Here is a 21,849-nt window from a genome sequence, read left to right on the forward strand (position 1 = left end):
CATGGTGAAACCCCATCTCTGGTGAAAAAAATTACAAAAATTAGCTGGGCATGGTGGCGGGCGCCTGTAGTCCCAGCTACTCCAGAGGCTGATGCAGGAGAATGGCATGAACCCGGGAGGCAGAGCTTGCAGTGAGCCGAGATAGCACCACTGCACTCCAGCCTGGGCAACAGCGTGAGACTCCCTCTCAAAAAAAAAAAAAAAAAAAAAAAAAAAAACTCACCGACAGGCATTTTCTTGCCCTCCCCACACAGCTTTTCCTGTTAGTTAAGGAAACAAAGAATGGACGCCCTGGGCTGACCCCACACCACATTCAGCCCAGGGGCTGGCTCTCCAAAATCAAGATCCAGAGATGATTTGGAAGGGTGATCTTCTTTCGGACAATTACTGGTTTCTCATTCGAGGTCAGCTGGTTGAAATATTAGCATTTGTAAAGCAGGAAATTGGATAAGGCGACCCTCCTGCCGGCTGGGGACTCTCTTGTGGAGTCCATGTGTGGAGACCAGTGAGCAGGTGCCCCACATGCCCTGAACCCCAAACTCAAGCCGGGTCCATCACGAGTGCCTGGGCAGGGCTGGTGCCTGATGTCCCCTGGGAGCAGGTGCGGTGGAGCAGGGGCAGCCCCCTCAGTGGAAAGGAGGTTGGGCAGACAGAGCTGAGCCTGCTGCAATCCTAGACCATCCCTGCTGGAGGAAGCCCTGCGCCAGCACACTGGGCCATGAGACAGGCCCCAGGTCCCTGTTAGTCTGCTGGGCCTACCACGATGAAATACCACAGACTGGGCAGTTAAACAACCGACATTTATTTTTACCTATTTGTGATCTCAAAGTAAAAGATCAAGGCGTTCGTGGCTTTGGTGTCTCCTGGGCTTGCAGGTGGTCCCCTTCCCACTGTGGCTTCACATGGCCTTTCTTCTGCACGAGAGCATCCTTGCTGTCTCTTCCTCTCCTTATGAGGATATCAGTCCAATCAGACAAGGGTCCCACCCTTATGACACTGTTTAACCTTCAATCTCCTGAAAGGTCCTGTCTCCAAATACAGTGACATTGAGGGTGAGGGCTTCAACCTATGAATTAGTGGAGAGGAGGCGCAACGGAGCCTGTAACAGTGCCCCGGCCGGTTTGTCTAGGCAGCTCACCCAGCCCGGGGAGCCCTGGAAGCATTCTTTTCCCTACATCCACTTGCAAGCTTCTACTTGACATGTGTTTTCTCTCACCCTGTTATCTTTCAGAAGAAGGGAAAAGAAAACAGAAACAGACATGAAAGCAGAGTGGAAATTCAGTCACCCAGGATCCAGCTAGCAACACTCTTCAATTACCTGGGAATGGTTTCCCCATCCTGCTCTGGGGAGAGAGAGGCGCTGACAAGAAAGGCTGACTCATGCCAGAGGGCTTGTTTGAGAAATGAAAGAGTTTGAAGGGTTCATCCTGGGGCCAGAAGAGAAGCCGCGCAGCCCCCCGCACCTTGCACACCATCCCTGGATAACCAGGTGCTGCATGCGGAATGCAGGCTTGACAACTGCCCCCGCCGCCCCCAGGCTCCATCTTGGGCCTGCATGGGCTTCCCAAGGCAAGGAGGGGAAACCAGGACTCGGTGATTTTCCACAACAAATTCTGCAAAACAGAGATTTTTCCTCTCCCCCCATTAACCCCAAAGTGCCCAGAAAATTAATGAAGCAGAAATCCCTGCTCCCTGGACATTCCAGGGACCAGAAGCCAGACTCTAATATGGCGAGAGATAATAGGAGGGCCACGGATTAGCTGTGCCTCTTGATTCAGCTCCCCCAGGCACCCTTTGATGCTGCTCTTCAATTCTTCTCGGCACAGCTCCTGACTCAGGCCCCAGCCTCTGTCTATCTCGCTGGCATCTCTCTCAGAGTGAAGCCAAGGATTAGCTAATATTTGCAGATAGAAAGGGCTCCCTACAGAATAAACATGAATACCATTATAGCTGGGTCTCTGGCCGGTCTCAGATCTAATTGCAAAACCTTGTTGCCCTTTCAGGCACAGCCAAGAATAACAGAGAAGGCAGAGAAGGAACTCTGGTTCCAACTCCAGAGCCAGCGCACACAGACGTCTCTGCACAGCACAGGGAATGGGCGTTCATCCTGAAACCAGTCCTCAGTGCAGAGCCTCCCACGGGTGAGAGACCAAGCCCAGCAAATGGTTTTCAAAGTTCAACCAGACAAAGATGAAACCACCCTGGAAGGTGTCACCCTTGAGCCTCCTCCTGCCATGTGACCCTGAGGGGAAGTTCAGGGGCAGAGGGGAGACATCTGGATTTGGGGTTGGTAGGTTCCCACAACTGGACACTGACCTGGCTTACGCTCAGATGCACAGGGCTGCAGTTGCCAGCTGTAAGTCCCAAGTCCCAGAAAAGGAAGAGAAGGTGCCTCATGCATGTTCATTTCATTCCTTCAGTCACCTGGCAAGCATGAGGCCCGCACCTAGCATTGGCAGGCCTAGGGCAGGAGCCCCCTGGAGGCCCATATATAAATCACACTAACAAACCACTCAATAAAACATGTTCTATCCTCTGACCTTGACAAATATACTTCCTGATGACCCAGAAGGCAAGGTCTAAATTTAGAATTCTCCAACTCCGTAAAGTTAAGCATCAGAATACACGTGGCAGCAGGAATTGTGATGCTTAAGAGTGGGTCCACGCTCTGGCTCTGCCCCAGCTCTCCTCACCCCATCTCTATCCTGCACAAGGACACACCCTGTCCTGGCGGGAGTACCCGAGGCCATACGAGCCCAGACCCAGCGCTATCCGCATCCTCCACTAACAGCCCCTTTGCCACTGGTTTGTCCCAGGAAGGTGGATTCAAGTAGGCCCTAAAAACAGCTCAAGATTTAGATCTGGGAATCCTGGAGCTGCAGATACCGGAGCATGAGCTAAAGAGAGGGACAGTCACAGACTCTAGATTAACAGGTCCCCTGGTCATGCAGACTCCCACTCAGATGCAGGAGGTCAGGGTGTGTCTTCAGGGCCCAGCCACTCTGAGGCTGGACACAGCGCTGGGCCCAGCACAGATGCCATCCCCCATCAGTCTCCTCTGCTGATGGCCACTAAGCCAAGAGGGACAGGGAGGCAGCCACCTCAACTCCCCACAGCAAACCCTTTGGGTACAAAGTGAGATGTAAACAAATTAATAATGAGAGTAATGGAAGTGACACCACCACATCTCCTTTGTTCTAAGACACTCATTCTCGTTTCTCCGTTTAGCTTGTCTGGAACTGGGACATATTTTATAATTATGATGAATGCTAAATATAATGGGGTTTCACTTGCTCTCCCTGGGTGCTGTTGTTAAGTCGATGTTGCCCCCTACAGGAAAAGGCATTTTAGAATTGGGGGCTCTAGGAGATCGCAGTGGGAGCCTGGTCTTTGTTCTCACTCAGCAGGGCGGAGATCTTCCGTGAGTCCGGGAACCAGAGGTGTCAAGTGGTGGCCCACTGTGGGCCGTGCAGGAGCTCAGGAGCTGAGGACTGGGGGGCATGTGCTGGAGGGTCAGGGTAGGGCTCCCTCCTTCCTCACCTGGGTGCAGAAAGCTTCTTACCTGGAGCAGGGCACCTGCAACAGATGGGGAATCCTGAATCCTGGGCTTCAACCCCAACCTTCCCTCCCACTGAGTAAGTAATGGAGCCTCAGGTCTTGCCAAAGCCACATATTTTTTTTTTTTTTTTTTTGAGACGGAGTCTCGCTCTGTCGCCCAGGCTGGAGTGCAGTGGTGCAATCTCGGCTCACTGCAACCTCCGCCTCCCAGGTTCACGCCATTCTCCTGCCTCAGCCTCCCCAGTAGCTGGGACTACAGGCGCCCGCCACCACGCCCGGCTAATTTTTTTGTATTTTTAGTAGAGACGGGGTTTCACCATGTTAGCCAGAATGGTCTCGATCTCCTGACCTTGTGATCCTCCCGCCTCGGCCTCCCAAAGTGCTGGGATTACAGGCGTGAGCCACCGCGCCAAAGCCACACATTTTACTCATATTTCCCTGCATCGATAGCACAGACATGGAGGGGAACCCTGAGGCCCGGGCTCTGCTAGCTCAGCTCAGCACCGCTTCTCCACCAAAGGTGACTTCTGGCAATCGCTCCTCGCTCCAGCCATTAAATATTCTAGAAAGAGAAGAAGTTCATTTCCTCAGAAGCAGGCAGGAGCTGCGACTCGCCCTTTCAATCAATAACTGATTATCTTGCTTGCAAATTCAATTCACTGCCTGAAACCAGTCTCTCCTGATGGATCCTGACAAGTGCAATTGTTTTAGCAGAGTCTGTCAAAGAGAGAGGCCTCCCAGGGCGGGCAGATTCCATTCTGGTCCAGGCTTTTCAGGGAGGGGGAGAGGAGTCACCTGCTCCATGTCATTCATCTTCCAGGATCCACCAACCGTGAGCCCCCATCTCTGGAAAGCAGTGGAGCGTGGGAATTGCTTTATCTAAACTCACCCGTCTGCTCAAAAGCATGGGCTGTGGGTGGGGGAGCCCCTGGTGCCCCCAACAGAAGAGGGGATGACAAACGAACCTCTCACGTATGTGGGTTCCTCTAAGCACTTAAGCAGGAAAGGATGCATGAGGTTTGCAGATGACAGATTATGCTGGCTGGCTTTCCAAAGCCAAGCTCCGGGCAATGTGGGTGACAGGACCAACTCCCTTCCCTGACAGGGCTGCATGTTACAATGGCACCAGGAGTCAAAGAGTCTTTTCTATTCATTCATTTATTCATTCATTCACTTATTCACTACCATCGCCCAGGTTTCATGCTGAGTCCTCTGGATACCACAGAATGAAAGTTCCTTGTCCTTGAGGGGGACCATACATTCATTCAGTTCATTCCCCATGTGTTAAGCCTGAACAATGGCCCCAAACTTTTTAAGCCCTACTTAAGAACACAACTCAGTCTCTACATCCAGAATAACTCCTGACTCCTAGCCATAATCCAAAGCAGAATGAGATTAGGGTCTTCAGAGACACACATGATGAGATTTCAGACCATGTAGCCCAGAACCCCTCAGAATTTGTTCAAGGATTCCAAAAATGATTCTACAAAATTTCACTGTAATTAAATTTAAACTATTTTTAGAGGTAATGAAAAATCAACACATTCCCAAAGGTGTTAAAGGAAAAGTTTCACACGTCACAGACCAGCAGGCTGTTTCCTGACTGACAGGCCACCTCCTTCCTAGGGCGAACCTGGAACCAAGGCTCTGGCACTCTTCCTGAGGATTCGGGATTGATTAAGTGTGTCGTGGATAAGGAGGGCTGAAGGTACACTCTGGCAGCACTCACACCCTGGGCTCCGTTAATGCTGGGCAAGGGTCAGGCTCAAGTGCATAAAGCTCATTCTCATTACAAGGGAGAAACCAGCAAGCATGGGGTGCGGAGACGCAGCATGGGGTGTGGAAGATGCAGATGTGGTGTGGAGACGCAGTATGGGGTGCAGGAACGCAGCATGGGGTGCAGGGATGCAGTATGCGGTGTAGAGACGCAGCATGGGGTGCGGGGATGCAGTATGGGGTGTGGAGACGCGGCACGGGATGTGGAGACGCAGCATGGGGTGTGGGAGACGCGGCATGGGGTGTGGGGACGCGGCATGGGGTGTGGGGACGCAGCATGGGGTGTGGGAGACGCGGCATGGGGTGTGGAGACGCGGCATGGGGTGTGGAGACGCGGCATGGGGTGTGGGAGACGCAGCAGGAGAAGCAGGAGATTCTGTCACTCTGGAATCAGTTTAAATGGTTACTTAAAACCTGAAGGATTCCTATCGAACTTTCATCTTAATCATAAGGAGCATAAATCTGTCTTCCAAGCCTTGGTACCAATTTAATTGGAAAGAATCTTGGGATTGCAAGGTGGACTTTTTAAAGATTGTTTTTCTTTGTAGCCACATTCTAGGAGAATCGAGACTTTCCTGGCATGTTTCAACTGAAAAAAGCTTTGGAAATAAGGGGGATGCTGAAATGTCTTTCATAATCCCGAATTTTAAAATGTCACGTGCATCAAAATAGCTTCATCGTTTTGCTGTGATAAGTAGATGCTATGCATCTGAACTATTAAGACTAAATTGGATGCCAATACAATACTGATTTAATCTCCCTTAATTACTTTTTCTTATGTTTGCTGTGAAAAACCTTCAAACATACAGCAGAGTACAGGGAAGAGTATAATGATCTCCCACATGCCCACAGTCCTGGGTTTAACCCCCTGTGTGTGTGCTCGCAGTGAGACCAGACTGCATGGATTATGTTCACCGACATATCCCCAGCAGTTTAAGTTCACAATGAGTACTTGCTTAATGAGTGAATGCACTTATTACCAATGTATGAGGGAAAGTTCCTGTATTGGTCTGTTCTCACACTGCAATGAAGAAATACCCAAGACTGGGTAATTTATAAAGAAAAGAGGTTTAACTGACTCACAGTTCTGCACGGCTAGGGAGGCCTCAGGAAACTTACAACCATGATGGAAGTCACCTCTTCACAGGGCGGCAGGAGAAAGAATGAGTGCCAGCAGGGGAAATGCCAGATGCTTATAAAACTATCAGATTCCATGAGAACTCACTCACTGTCACGAGAACAGCATGGGAGAAACCACCTCCATGATTCAATTACCTCCCACCGGGTCCCTCCCACAACATGTGGAGATAATGGGATTACAATTCAAGATGAGATTTGCGTGGGGACACAGGCAAACCATATCAGTGCTGTCATGGCCACAAATCAGGCTGGCAGGGTTCAGATCCTGCCTCTGCTGCTTCTTGGCTGTGTGACCCAGGGCAAGCTCCCTAACTTCTCTAATGGCTCCGTCCATTGATAATCTTTGCCTGAATCCATTATTCCAGTCAGGGCTTAAAAAAATGTATTTTCTAACAATACTTTCCCATTTATTAGCTAAGATTCTTCTCTTAAGCACTATCCCACATCAACCAGGGCTATATATTTCTGATCAGTAAAGAATAATTGGCTAATTCTTTCCCTTTAATTGTTTTTAACAGTAAGAATTTTGTGTTTCCAAGGGCTGTCAATGGATTATTCTTTTCCTCTCTCTCTCCCTCTCTCTCTCATATCTATCTCTTTCTCTTATCTCTCTCCCATCTTTCTCTCTCTCATCTCTATCTCTTTCTCTCTCATCTCTCTTCCATCTCTATATCTTTCTCTCTCTCATCTCTATCTCTTTCTCTCATCTCTCTCCCATCTCTATCTCTTTCTCGCTCTATCTCTTTCTCTCATCTCTCTCCCATCTTTCTCTCTCTCTTATCTCTATCTCTTTCTCTCTCTCATCTCTCTCCCATCTCTGTCTCTCTCATCTCTATCTCCTTCTCTCTCATCTCTCTCTCATCTCACTCGTCTCTATCTCTTTTTCTCTCTCATCTCTCTCCCATCTCTATCTCTCTCTCATCTCTATCTCTTTCTCTCTCTCATCTCTCTCCCATCTCTCTCTTTCTCTCTCTCATCTCTCTTTCTCTCCCTCATCTCTCTCCTATCTCTATCTCTTTCTCTCATCTCTGTCTCTTTCTGTCTCTTATCTCTCTCCCATCTCTCGCTGATCTCTTTCTCTCTCTCATCTCTGTCTCTTTCTTCTCTCTCATCTCTCTCCCATCTCTATTTCTTTCTCTCTCTCATCTCTCTCCCATCTTTCTCTCTCTCATCTCTCTTACATCTCTATCTCTTTCTCTCTCTCTCATCTCTATCTCCTTCTCTCTCTCCCTCTCTCTCTCCCTCTCTCTCATCTCTATCTCTCTCTCTCATCTCTGTCTCTCTCTCATCTCTCTCCCATCTTTCTCTCCCATCTCTCTTACATCTCTATCTCTTTCTCTCTCATCTCTATCTCTCTCCCATCTTTCTCTCTCCCATCTCTCTTCCATCTCTATCTCTTTTTCTCATCTCTATCTCTTTCTATCTCTCATCTCTCTTTCATCTCTCTCCCATCTCTATCTCTTTCTCTCATCTCTCTTTCTGTCTCTCTCATCTCTCTCCCATCTTTCTGTCTGTCGTCTCTCTTTCTCTCTCTCTCCTCTCTCCCATCTGTTTCTTTCTCTCTCATCTCTATCTTTCTTTCTCTCTGATCTCTATCTCTTTCTCTCTCTCATCTCTATCTCTTTCTCTATTATCTTTGTCTCATCTCTCTCTCATCTCTCTCTTTCTCTCTCATCTCTGTCTTTCTCTCTCTCTCTCATCTCTCTCCCATCTCTCTCTCTCTCTCTCTCTCTCTCTCATCTCTATCTCTTGCTTTCTCTCTCTCTTATCTCTGTCTCTTTCTCTCACACTTACCCCACTTTGTCCTACTCTGTTTTCCTTTTTTGGAATATCATTATGAATTTATGAGGTTTTCCAAATCCCATGTGTTGTAGTCATTATTTTTTATGCTTAAACTCTCCCATTTGAATAATGGGTATCTTGTCACATTGGTTCCTGTGCTCTTTTGATAAAACTCCAATGGCCTTTGGTAGCTTCCTAGCTTTTGGGGAACAAGATGTTTTAGGCAAGCACACCTTGTATATTTCCTACTCAGGCCTGGAATCAGAATATTTTTATCCCCAGAGTTCCCTGGTTCGTTTTCATGATGAATGAAATTTGGAGACGCCAGTCTGGGTGCCAAGAACACTTTTTGCTTCTGGGCATTTTTAGTGAGCACCACCAGCACCTGCATTTATTCAAAACACAAAGATATCATGAGATCGTACTGACATTCCCCGTTCAAACTTACCTTTATATGGATTTTATTTCTTTGGTTTTATAATGGTATCTCTCTTTTTACACTAAAAATCTGACACCTTAGCAATATACACATAATTAATGAACTTGCTTATTTTTTATAGAAGACTTTTAAAATGTAATAAGACTTTCAAACAAAATTTAAGATTGCTTTGCATCACTACTTGTGCTTTGAATGTGTTGATAAAGGATAGTCAGTGAAATAATTCTATTTGCTATGTAATGACCTCACTTTGTTTTCAATTATCATTTATCTTGGGATTTTTAAATTTTACTTTTTTATTTATAAACTTAATTTTATAATTTACATGATGCCAAAGTAAAAACTGTAAAACGAGATAAATTCAGAAAAGTGTTGCTTTCATCCTGTTTCTTGCTCTGTCTTCCTTCTAGTCCTTTAGGGTTTTTTATTCTCATCAAAAAGTAACAAACTAAATACACAAACACTCCTTCATTGGGTCCATTTAACAATATATTCTGGAAACCACTGGGTTTTTTGTTTGTTTGTTTTTTGTTTTTGTTCGTTTGTTTTTGAGACAAAGTCTTGCTCTGTCGCCCAGGCTGGAGTGCAATGGGGCCATATCAGCTCACTGCAACCTCCACCTCCTGGGTTCAAGCGATTCTCCTACCTCAGCCTCCCAAGTAGCTGGGATTACAGGCACCCACAACCACGCCTGGCTAATTTTTGTATTTTTAGTAGAGATGGGGTTTCCCCATGTTGCCCAGGCTGGTCTCGAACTCCTGACTTCAAGCGATTCACCACCTCAGCCTCCCAAAGTGCTGAGATTACAGGCCTGAGGCACTGCGCCCAGCCTACTTTCTGTTTGTGAACAGATATCCCTCTCATGCTTTTTAATTGAGGAAAACTTTGAATTCAGTAGTTTGCACAGATCTTAAGTGTAAAATTCAATAACTTCTGACAAATATACGTACAGAGTTGACTCTTGAATTATGTAGGGGTTAAAGGCACACAGCCCCTGCACAGTCAAAAATCTGCACATAAATTTTGACTCCCCAAAAACTTAACTACTAATACCCTATTGTCAACCAAAAGCACAGTGGTTTGACACACATGTAGTATGTTCTATGTATTATATACTGTATTCTTACAATAAAGTAAGCTAGAGAAAAGAAAATGTTATCAAGAACTCATGGGAAAGAGAACATATATTGACCATTCATTAAGTGGAAGTGGATCATCATAAAGGTGTTCCTCATGATCATCTTCACATTGATTATGCTGAGGAGGAGGGAGAGGAGGGGTTGATCCTGCTGTCTCAGGGGTAGCAGAGGTGAAGGAAAATCCATGTATAAGTGGACTCATGTAGTTCAAACCCCTCAAACCCATGTTGTTTGAGGGTCAACCATGTATATATATTTTATTGGGATATATATATATATCTCCCAGTGAATATGGGAATATATATATATATATCCCAATGAAACTAACACTTCAATCAAGACATACATTTATTACAAGATATCAATCAAGATGAACATTTAGATCATCTCAGAGTATTCTCTTCTGCCTCTAAGTCAGTCTCTGCAGGCAACCACAGGTATGAATTCTATCACTACAAATTATTTTTGTCAACTTTGGGACTTTATATAAAATTAAAAATCAGGGTGAGCTCTTGATCAGCATAATGTTTTTGAGGTTCAAAACATGTTGTTTCATGTATCACTAATTTATTCTTTTTTATTGCTGAAAGGATTTCCAATATATGGATATACCACAATTTACTCATTTATCTATTAATGAATACTTAACCTACTTCCAATTTGGGGCTGTTATTAATGGAACTGAAATTGACATTCTTGTGCATATCTTTTGTGGACATATGTTTTCTTTCCTCTTTGGTAAATGCCAAGGAGTGGAATTGCTGGGTCATATAGTAAGTTTATATTTAACTTTATGATAAGCTACCAAAACGTTTTCCAAAGTGTCTGTAACATTTTGCATTCCTACCAGTAATGGATGAGAATTCCAGTGGCTCTACCTCCCTGCTAACACTTGGTATTGTCAATATTTTTTTCTTTTTACTCATTCTAAAAGATATATAGTGGTATCTCACTATAGCTTTAAATTGCAGCTCCATAGTTATTAGTGATGTTTCTCCACATGTATTTTTTAATAAAATGTCTGCCCAAATATATTGCCCATTTTTAACTGAGTTGTTTACTTTTTACTGAGTTTGAGAACTCTTTAGGTATTGTGAACGCAAGCCATTTGTCAGATATGTGATTCACAAATGTTATCTCCCAGTCTGTGGCCTGTCTTTCCATTCTTGTGAAAGAGCCTTTCACAGAGCAGAAATTTTTAATTTTGATAAAGCCCAAATTATCCATATCTTTTCTCATGCAGATCATGCTTTTAGTGTCATATTTGAGTAATATTTTCTTAACCAAGGTTACAAAATTTTTTCCTGTATTTTCTTCTCAAACTGCATTGTCTAAGATGTTAGCCACTAACTACATGTGACTATTTAAATTTAGATTAATGAAACTTAAATGAAATATAAAACTCATTTCTTCAATCACACTAGCCACATTTCAAGTGCTCAGCAGCCAGATGTGCCCAGTGTCTCCCATACTGGAAAGCACAGATCGAACATGCCTGTCGTTACAGATGGGTATGTTCTGTGGAAGAGCATTTTTGTAGAAGTTTTACAATTTTAGGCTTTACATTTAGAAATCATAAGGAGTAAGTATGGGTTGAGGTTATATATTTATTTATTTATTGGTTTGTTTGCTTAAGTATATCAATGTTCAATTGTTCCAGCATCATTTTTAAAAAGAATCTGCTTTTTCCGTTCAGTTGCTTTTGTACCTTTGTTAAGACCAATTGACCATATATTTCTTGGGCTTATTTCTAGACTCTGTATTCTACTGTATTCTTTTACCAACACCGTGCTATACTAACCATGGTAGATTTATAGCAAATCTTGAAATCAAGTCATGTGAATCTAAGTTGGGAAATGTTTTCTCTGCTTTTATTTTCTGGAAAAGTTTGTACAGAACTACTGTTACTTGCGTGTTAAAATATATTGTAGAATTTACCAGTCAAGCCCACGATGGCCGGAGTTTTATAGAAAGGTTTTTAACTACAAATTCAACATCTTTAAAAGGCATAAGACTATTCAGGCTATCTATTTCCTCCTGAGTGAACTTGGGCAGTTTGTGTCTCTCAAGGAATTGATCCATTTTCCTCTAAATTGTCAAATGTATAAACACAAAGTGGTTTGTAATATGCCCTTATTATCTTTTGATGATTGTAGTATCTGTATCAATGTCCTCTTTTACATTCAAGATAATAGCTGTTTGGGTCTCTTTTGTTCTTGCTCAGTCTGACTTGAATTTTATCAATTTTATTGATCTTTTTAATAAAAAGCTTTTGGTTTTACTGCTTCTCGCCATTATTTTTCTATTTTCAATTTCATTGTTTTGAGCTCTTTATTCTTTCCTTCCACCTGCGTGTTTTCCTTTTAATTTGCTCTCTTTTTCTATTTTCTTATGGAAAATAGAAAATAAGGATACAACATATTAGAATCTGTGTGATGCAGCCAAGTAGAACTTAGAGGGAAATTTCAAGCATTAAGTGTTTACATTAGAAAAAAGAAAGGCTGCACATCAACTTTTTTTCTAATATAGACATTAAAATGCTTGAAACTTCCCTCTAAGTTCTACTTGGCCACATCACACAAATTTTGATATGTTGTTTTCGTATTTTCACTCAATTCAAAATATTTTTTAAGTTTCCTTTTGGCTTCCTCTTTGCCCCAAGGGTTATTTAGAAGTGCAACGTTTAATTTTCAAGATTTTCTAGCTATCTCTCTGTTATCAATTTCTAGTTTAAATCTTATATAATCAGAGAACATACTTTTCATGATTTCAATTCTTTAAAATTTTTGAAATATTTTAATGTTTTCCATGTGTCCCAGAATTTGGATTATTTTCATGAATCCTCCTTCTGAATGTTCCATGTGAATTCTGGTTTTTAGTAGAATGTTCTATAAATGTCAATTAGGTCATATTCATTTAAAGTGTTGCTCAGGTATTCTGTATTCTTACTGATTTTCTATTTGTTCTATTGATTACTGACAGAGGAGTGTTGAAGTCTCCAAGTAGAATTGTGAGTTTGTCTGTTTCTCCTTCAATTCCCGTTTTTGCTTCACATATTTTGAGGCTCTACTGTCATGTGAACAGTGACATGGGATTGTTAGGTCTTCTTGGCTAAGTGACCACTTAAAATTACTCACTGTCTCTCTTTTTTTTCTGGAAGTGTTACTTGCTTTGAAGTTTACTTTGTCAGATTAGTATAGCCACTTCAGCTTTCTTTTTCTTGGTTTTTGCATGAAATATGTTTTTCTATCCTTTACTTTTTACACACACACACACACACACACACATATTTAAGCAGATTTTTCATACATAGTATATACATATATTTTTATCCAATCTGACAATCTGTGCTGATTTGGTATATTTAGACCATTTACATTTAAAGTGATTACCCATATGGTTGAATATAGGTGAACTACATTTTCATTTATTTTCTATTTGTCCCCTTTATTTCTTGTTCATTTCTTCCCCATCCTTGCCTTCTTTTGTCCTAGTTAAATGCTTTTAGGACTCCATTTTAATTTTTCTTTTGGATTTTTGGCTGTATCTCTTTGTATTATTCTTTAGAATTTGCTCAAAGGACTACAGTATTCATACCTAACCTATCATCACATACCTAGAGTTAATATATGCATGTAAGCCAACATGGCACATGTATACATATGTAACAAACCTGCACATTGTGCACATGTATCCTAGAACTTAAAGTATAATAATAATTTAAAATTTTTTTTAAATAGATATACATGTAAGAGCTACTCCTCCTCCTCACCAACATTTGGTATGATCAGTCCTTTACATTTTAACCAGTCTGGTAGATGTATAGTGGTATTTCATAGCAATTTTAGTTTTCCTTTTTGTGTCTAATGATGTTGAACATCTTCTCATGCATTTGTTATTGGAATAACATCTTTCAGAAAGTGCTGTTCAAATCTTTTGCCCATTTGTATTGAGTTGTTCATTACTACTGAGTTGTAATAACTCAGCCTAGTGCAGTGGCACATGCATGTAATCCCAGCACTTTAGGAGGCTGAGGCAGGCAGATCACCTGAGGTCAGCAATTTGAGACCAAACTGGCCAACATGGTGAAACCCTGTCTCTACCAAAAATACAAAAATTAGCCAGGCATGGTGGTACTTGCCTGTAATCCCAGCTACTCAGGAGGCTGAGGCAGGAGAATTGCTGGAACCCAGGAGGTGGAGGTTGCATTGAGTCAAGATTGCATCACTGCACTCCAACCTGAGCAACAGAGCAAGACTCCATCTCAAAAAAAAAAAAATCATTATATATTCTCGGTGTACAATCTTTAGCAGACATACTCTCATAATATCTTATTATCTATCTAATGTTTGAAACATCTGTAGAGTTGTTCCTATTCCCTTTTTCATTTCTGTTGTTGATAATGAGTTCTCTTTTTTGTTCTTGATGAGTTTTATTAGGAGTCTGTCAATTGTATTGATCTTCTCAAATAATCTACTTTTGGGGTTCTTGTTTTTCTCTATTGCATGCTTGCTTTCTATGGCATTTATTTTTGCATTGGTCATCATTTCTTTCCTTTTATATTTTTGAAGTTGGCTTGGTTTTCTTTTTCTTGCTTCTTGAAATGAAAGCTTAAGATATTTATTTTTAGCCTTTCTTCTTTTTTATATATAAGGCTATAAATTTCTCTCTAAGCACTACTTTAACATACTAGTATGATATGGTGTACCTTCATTATCGTTTAAAATATTTTCTAATTTCCAAGTTTCCCGTGTGATTTCCTTTTTGAACCACAGGTTACTTAGAAGTGTGTGGTGTGTGGCTTAATTAATAATCAGCTGGAGATTTTCAATTATCTTTTCGTTATTGATTTCTAGCTTAATTGCACTGTGGTCAGAGAACATACTCTGAATTATTTCAATCCTTTGAAAATTGTTAAGGCTGCTCTACAGGATACTATATGGTCAATTTTGGCAAATGTCCCATGTTCAATTACTCAGGTGGAAAAAAGGTGCATTCTGTCTTTGTTGGGTGCAGTGTTTTATATGCCCATTAGGTCAATTTGATCTATTGTATTGTTCAGATCTTCTATATCCTGTATGATTATCCTGTCTGCTTGTTCTATAAACTATTGAGAAACATGTCTTGACATCTCCTAGCAAGATGGTTATGTCTTTGCAACTTTCCTATCTTTATATTTTCTGAACTTTTGTTCTGTATTTTAAGTATAAACTTATAGTGTCATCCTGACCAGGAGTCTACTTTTTGATCTGCTTTAGACATTGGAGTAGCTGATGAAATATTGAATTTGCGGGGGAAATCCCACTTCTGATAAGGAAAAAATGTGTGAAAATTGGCAGAGAGGAATTCAAGAGAGGAAACACTGTTGGGTACACCCTGATGGACACTCTGCAGCCTAATAATCAGGAAGAATAGTGTAAAGCCCTCCATGCCTTTAACTAGCTCTCCCCTCTAACATGCCAGCCCTTGAGAAACATTCCATTGACACACCCAAGACTTTGAGCTAGAAGCCTTTCCCAAGCTGCTGAACTGGGAATTAAGATACAAATGAGTCACACACTAAGCTGACTTTCTGTTAGTTGAAATCAAGATAGAAACCTAAGCAGTCTGGAAAGACACATGGAGTTCCAAGGACCAGAGCAGGGAAGAAAAAGCTGCCAAAGGCAAAGGAGCATGACAGCGTTACATTTCCCATGAGCTTTGGAAGAACGGGGACATGCAGGGTGGAGGATCAGTGGTTCTCCTGTACTTGCAATGCTCTCCCTAGGGTTCGCCCAGACTCCTGTATGTGGTCTTTGGGTCTTCATGCAGATAGACACTCCCTCTTAAAGAGATGGACTTCTCTGTGTAAAAGCAGCCCTGACTCACGGTCATTATGGGTAAGTGACACCATGGCTCAGTGACTCACATGAGGAAACAAGTTACATGCTTTTGTATATAGCTGTCCCCAAGGGGCAGGGTGATGGCCAAGGATGTCTCCTCTTCAGTGTGACTGTGAGTCAGATTCTCAAAGGTGTCCTGGGCACAAACCACATGTCCGCACCACAGGAGCTGCAGGAAAAGGGCTCCATGGCCCCTGCCCTGGAAGAACTTGCAGGCCAAGTGAAAATGTGACTGAAAACCACCTGAGAACACAGCAAGGTGACTCATGGAGACTCAAGAATCAAACTCTTGGTGACCCATGGAGACTCAAGAACCAAACTCCTGGTTGCTATAGAAGTTCAGGGAAGTAAGGGCTCAGGGAGTACTAAAATCACCCAGAAAGACTTTAAGAAAGCAGTGGGGCTTGACTAGACCCCAGGGCAGTGGTCAGGACACAGGAAGTATAAGAAGGGACCATTCAGCAGCAGGAACAGTGTGATTAGGGCACCAAGGGAGATGAAAGAGGCTGTGGGCCCTAGTCAAAGCAGCAGCCAGGGCAGGCTTAAGCCAGCCCTGGGGATGCCAGGCAGAAATCCACAAAGAAAACATTCCTATGCTTGGATGTTCAAGTATCATTCTTAAACAGCTTTATTGAGATATAATTTATACACCATGTAATTCACCCATTTAAATTGTACAATTCAATGTTTTTAGTGAATATACTAATATGTATTAGTATATATGACCAGTACCACCATTAATTTTACACTTTCATCCCCCCAAAAAGAAACTTCATATGCATTAGCAATCCCTCTCCTTTTCCCACCAATATCCCTAGCTCTAGGCAACCACTTATCTACTTTCTGTCTCTATAGATTTGCATATCCTGGGCATTTCATAAAAATGACATCTGTTATGGGTGGAATGCATTCCCCCCCTCATCAAATACATATGTAAAGGTCCTAATCCCCAGTATCTTAGAATGTGGCACTATTTGGAACTAGGATCATTGCAGATGTAATTAGTTAAAATGAGGTCAGCCTGGAGTAAGATCATCCCCTAATCCTATATGACTGATGTCTTTATAAAAAGAGGACATTTGAACATACAGACAGATGCATGCAGAGGGAAAATGATGTGAAGGCACAGGGAGAAGGCAGACACCTATGAGCCAAGGAATACCAATGGTTGCTAGCAAACCATCCTAGCCCAGGGAAGAAGCTGGGAGCAGATTCTTTCTCACAGCCCTCAGAAGGAAGCAACACTGGACAACACCTTGATTTTGGACTTCTGGCCTCCTGGGCTATGAGAGGACAAAGTTCTGATGTTGAAGCCACCTGGCTTGTGGCACTTAGTTACAGAAGTCCTAGCAAATTAACACAGAATCATACACTTGGTGGTCTTTTGTGACTCCCCCTTCACAGAGGGCCATGCCTGATGCAGTGTATGTTGGTACTTCTTTCCTTTTGATGGCTGAATAATATTCCATTGCAGGGACAGACCATATTTTGCTCATTCATTTACCAGCTGTTGGGCATTTGGGCTGTTTCCACTTCAAGGTTATTATGACTAATGCTGATATGAACATTTGTGTGCAAGTTTTTGTATGGACATGTGTTTTTATTTCTTACAGGTACATATCCAGAGGTGGAATCTCTGGGTCACAAGATGATGCTATGTTTAACATGTTGAGGAACTGCCAGGCTGTTTTCTGCAGCAGATGCACCATCTTCCATTCCCACCAGCAGCCTATGAGGATTGCAATTGCTCCATATCCTCACCAACACTTGTTATTGTCTTTTTTTATTGTAGCCATCTTTATGGGTAGGAAATAGTATTCAAGAATCTGTTTTTAGTCTTTTTGTAGCCAGGCGACACATAAACAGCCATGATTTTTGAGATAAACCATGCTATTTGCAAGCATAAAAGGAATGTCCCTTCTTATCAATGCTACTTTTTTCAAACTCTAAGATCCTCTCCATCCTATCTGAAGACCAACCAAGGTGACACAGCATCTTTGTCACCTTGCCTGGGAGTTCCCAGGCCTGCCCCCCAGCAATTAATTAGGGGTGTGGTGGGACAGCACAGACCTCACCAGCTGAGCCTCACATCCTTTCTCCTGTACAGTTACTATGGAGACTGTCGTGGCCACAGGCTCCCTTTTGCCTTCTCAATGTTAATAAACAGCCTCATTATTTCGCAGAAATCACTTCGGAAAATCAGCAGCTCCACAGTTTCATGCGGTCCAAATTAATGAGGAAAGAGTATGGGGATTTTTTTATTGCCTATGAAAGGAAGAAGAGTTATGGCTCATTTGTGCACTTTTGCTGTATTTATGTTTTATGCATTAGAAAGCGATTTCCACCTCCATTACACATCACTAATGTCCTCGTTACATTAAAGGTACAGACCAGGAATCTTTTTTGCCCATCAAACCACCAAATAAATTGTGGCAAAAGATGTGAGGATGGAGAATGCCTAAAAATCAGCTGGGCTGGGCTGGGCTGCAAAGGGGGAGACAGACCTGTTTCTCGGTCAAATGTCATTGAGGGCTGGGCACAGTAGCTCATGCCTGTAATCTCAGCACTTTGGGAGGCCGAGGTGGGCAGATCACCTGAGGTCAGGAGTACAAGACCAGCTTGGCCAATATGGAGAAACCCCATCTGCCCTAAAAATGCAAAAATTAGCAGGGTGTGGTGGCACGCACCTATGGTCCCAGCTACTCAGGAGGCTGAGGCAGGAGAATCGCTTAAACCCAGGAGGCAGAGGTTGCAGTGAGCTGAGATCGCACCACTACACTCCAGCCTGGGTGACAAAGTGAGACTCCATCTCAAAAACAAAAACAAAAACAAACAAAAAAATCATTGAAAAGAGAAAGGTCTAGCAGCTTCTTTGTAAACAGGGAATCATCCAGGGGCATGGAAGCCTCACAGACTGAACTTTAAATCTGAGCAAGGTCACAAAATAGCTGTGAAACACTGGCCCCAACTTACTTACCAGTGAGTTGAGACCAATACTAGAAGGTAAAAGGTAGCATGCACTAAATATTAGTGAGCCTCTCTCTCTGCCAGGGAATATAGCAGGATGAAGGTGAGAGAAAAGACCCCCGTTTTAGGGAGCTTACAATCAGCTGCCACATCAGAGGGTCACTGTGGGGACTGAGTGACGTGACAGGCTTCAAGCTTCTGCCACCCAGAAGGTGCTGAGCAAATGGTCAGTAGTTCCCTTCGGCAACCAAAACACCGCAGCCCCAGAGGGTAGAGACAGGGAGCTGGGGGCAGGACCTGACTAGCTATTACCTCTCTCTGCAAAAGGTGGGGAAGGAAGAAAGGATCAGAAGAACAGGAGAGGGTAGCCCAGTGACAGACCACACATGAAAGATACAATGGCTGCAGGCCAGGGACCCAGACCACCCGGGTCCAAGTCACAGCTCCACCACTCCAAGCAGGTTCCTAACCTCGCTCCTTCTCAGTTTCAATATCAACTCAGTGAGAAAATCAATGCACAGAGCTTGCACATGATGACTGCATGGACATCTAAAAAGGGCTAAGGAGCAGTGTTAGCAGGGGTCCACAGGTGGCTTTCAAGACAAAAGAAACGAAAGCTGAGTGTCAATCATATCTGCAGCAGTTGAGAGATTGCCACGAAAAGCTGGTGCTTCCACTGAAGGCCGGGACAACAGGTGCCACCGTAGCTCTGACAGCTCCGGGAGTTGAAGATGCCTTGTGTGAGAGAGGGCATCTTATGCTCTGTCCTCAGCTCTCATGTTCCTAATCCTGGGATCCTGACATTTGCAGGACACAGTGCTTTCCAGACCTGCTAGCCTGGAAACATCGTGTGATTAAGGCACCAAGAGAGCTGAAAGGGGCGATAGACCCTGGCCAAAGCGGCGGCCAGGACAGGCTTGAGCCAGCCCTGGGGCTGCCGAGCAGAAATCCACAAAGAAAACATTTCTGTGCTTGGATGTTCAAGAGTCATTCTTGAACAGCTTTATTGAGATATAATTTATCTCAATGTAGATACAGTGAAAGAAAAATGAGCAATCAGTATGTATATACAGTGAGAGAAAATGAAGGAACTAAGTTTCCAAAGTGGAGCAGGGAGATTGCGGGAGGATTGCTCCCACACCTGCTAAAGGTCGAGCCACAGAATGTTCCCATAGACTTGAACAACAGCTGAAGTCAGTGTCCACCAGCCTTCAGCATCTCCCATCCGGGAGTACCCTCACGAGCTGACCAATCAGAACGGGTTTGTCATTTAGGATTTCTGCCTGACCAATGACGGCCTCCGAAAACAACTTTTTGCAGATATCTCCAATGAGAAAAACTCTCCGGCACTGGCTGTTAGGACCCTCTTCGGAGCTGCCCTGATCCAGTGTACCCGAATTGCAATTATTTGTTTTCCGGATAAAAACCATTTCCTTTAACCTCCATGCGAACCTCATCTTAGGTAACAATATCCAGCCTAAAAATGCTCCTATGTTTTCGTCCAACTTCAACAAACTGCTTCCTGGATATTCCATCCTGACGTCGCACAACAGCCGCTGGAGGGTGGAGCTGCACAAGTGGGTGGGAGTCTGGGGGAGACGTACTCAGAGGCTCCTTACCAAGGACTGCTGGGGTCAGCGGCCACCCTGAAGAGTCAACGATAAGGAGGTGGTGCTGGAAAAGAGGAAACCAATTCAAAGGTGAAGGCCAGCCAGAAGAACCAAGATGTTGGAAACCATTAGATGTAGCAGTAAGCAAAAGGGAAGATTCCAGAAAGATTCTAACTTCCAGCCTGGGTACTGTGGGGGGTCCATTCACCAAGATCAGGGGGAAATAGCAGCAGGGAGGCTGAGTCAAGCCGAGGCATCCTGAGATTGAGCGGCTTGTGGGGAATCCCAGGGAACAGGCCGACTTGGAAGTGGATTCTGTGGACTCGGCTCTCAGGGCTGGGCCCCAGGATGGTTTCAGAGGAGGAACACAGAGGCTGATGCACGGTAAGGTGAGAACGTCTGAGCCAGGCGGCCCTTGCAGGGAGCTGGGAATGAGTGGCCACCGAGAAAGGAATCGAGTCACAGCCAACAGAGTAAGCTGTGTCACGTGATCCCAGAACATCAACCGCAAACAAGAAGACAGAATTTTTCCATTGATTTTGGCAACAACGTAACAGTTATTTGTGTCTCCAGCTGAAGAGTCTCCGGGATGGGAGAGGAGCCCACAGGGAATCGTGGGGCAGCCTGAGCAGAAGGCAGGGCCAGGAGACCAAGAGGAGACACAGCCCTGTGTCTATGCTGAAGAGGAAGAACCAAGATTGTGGAAGATTGAAGAGGCCCTGAAGGAGAGGTGCACAGTGGAGGGTGGGTCAGGCCCCCCAGCCATCGCCTCAGGGAGGCGCCCCTAGAAGGAGTGTGATTGGAGTCCCAGAGAGAGTTAGAAATGGGTTACAGTCCACGTCCGCCAGGGACCTTGGGAGGCTGTCCACGTGTGGCTTGACCCACTGCAAGACAAGGACAAGATACCAGGAATGGGGCTGAGGCCATCTGCATGGCTTGCAGCCACTCAGCACAGCTGCAGGAAACCGACCCCCAAGACATCCTCCCTGGGAAACCACAGCGGGCAGACACAGCATAGTTACAGATCAGCTAATGGAAGAGAGGGGTCCCACGGGGTAGAAAACGGCCAGACGCTGGGACAGAGTCTCTGTCCCACACCCCTGCCCACCAGCAGCGCCTTCCCCAGAGTCTCTAGCAAGCGTCCACTTGGTCTTCTCTGCCCATCCCACCTCTCCCACCCCCTGCCCCCCCGGGGGCACACTAATGAGCAGTGATACGGTCAATAAAGACCCCAGCAGGGGGGAAGCAAGCCCGAGCAGTCCACAAACCAGCCAACCATCCTGACTGTCGTGGGAAATTGCTGCGACACGCTCTCTTTCTACTCCACCGCCTTTCTGTCACAAGCAAGAGAAGGATCTAACAGCTGTTTCTACGCGTAGGCTTTTTTCCTCTTTTTTCTTTTCCTCAGCGGCCTCCTTAACCCCGCCAGGCGCCAGCCCGAATTGGTGCTGGCCTTGATGTGACGCGGTGTGCTGGGAGACGTTCCGCATAGGAGCGAACACCCTGTAAAGCTGTTCATTTGCGAAAACAGCGACAAATACAATCATAAACTTCTG

At 44.2% G+C, this 21,849-nt stretch overlaps 2 annotated features.

Moving 5' to 3' along the window:
* Positions 712 to 1,360: an enhancer, noted in NCBI's record as "H3K4me1 hESC enhancer chr1:5657030-5657678 (GRCh37/hg19 assembly coordinates)". NCBI's record gives its function as "activates a minimal SCP1, AML or CMV promoter by ChIP-STARR-seq in primed H9 embryonic stem cells {active_cell/tissue: H9 hESC(primed)}" and the evidence as "EXISTENCE:reporter gene assay evidence [ECO:0000049][PMID:30033119]".
* Positions 1,361 to 2,007: an enhancer, noted in NCBI's record as "H3K4me1 hESC enhancer chr1:5657679-5658325 (GRCh37/hg19 assembly coordinates)". NCBI's record gives its function as "activates a minimal SCP1, AML or CMV promoter by ChIP-STARR-seq in primed H9 embryonic stem cells {active_cell/tissue: H9 hESC(primed)}" and the evidence as "EXISTENCE:reporter gene assay evidence [ECO:0000049][PMID:30033119]".

Source organism: Homo sapiens, chromosome 1 (assembly GCF_000001405.40).
Source record: "Homo sapiens chromosome 1, GRCh38.p14 Primary Assembly".
NCBI lineage: Eukaryota > Metazoa > Chordata > Mammalia > Primates > Hominidae > Homo > Homo sapiens.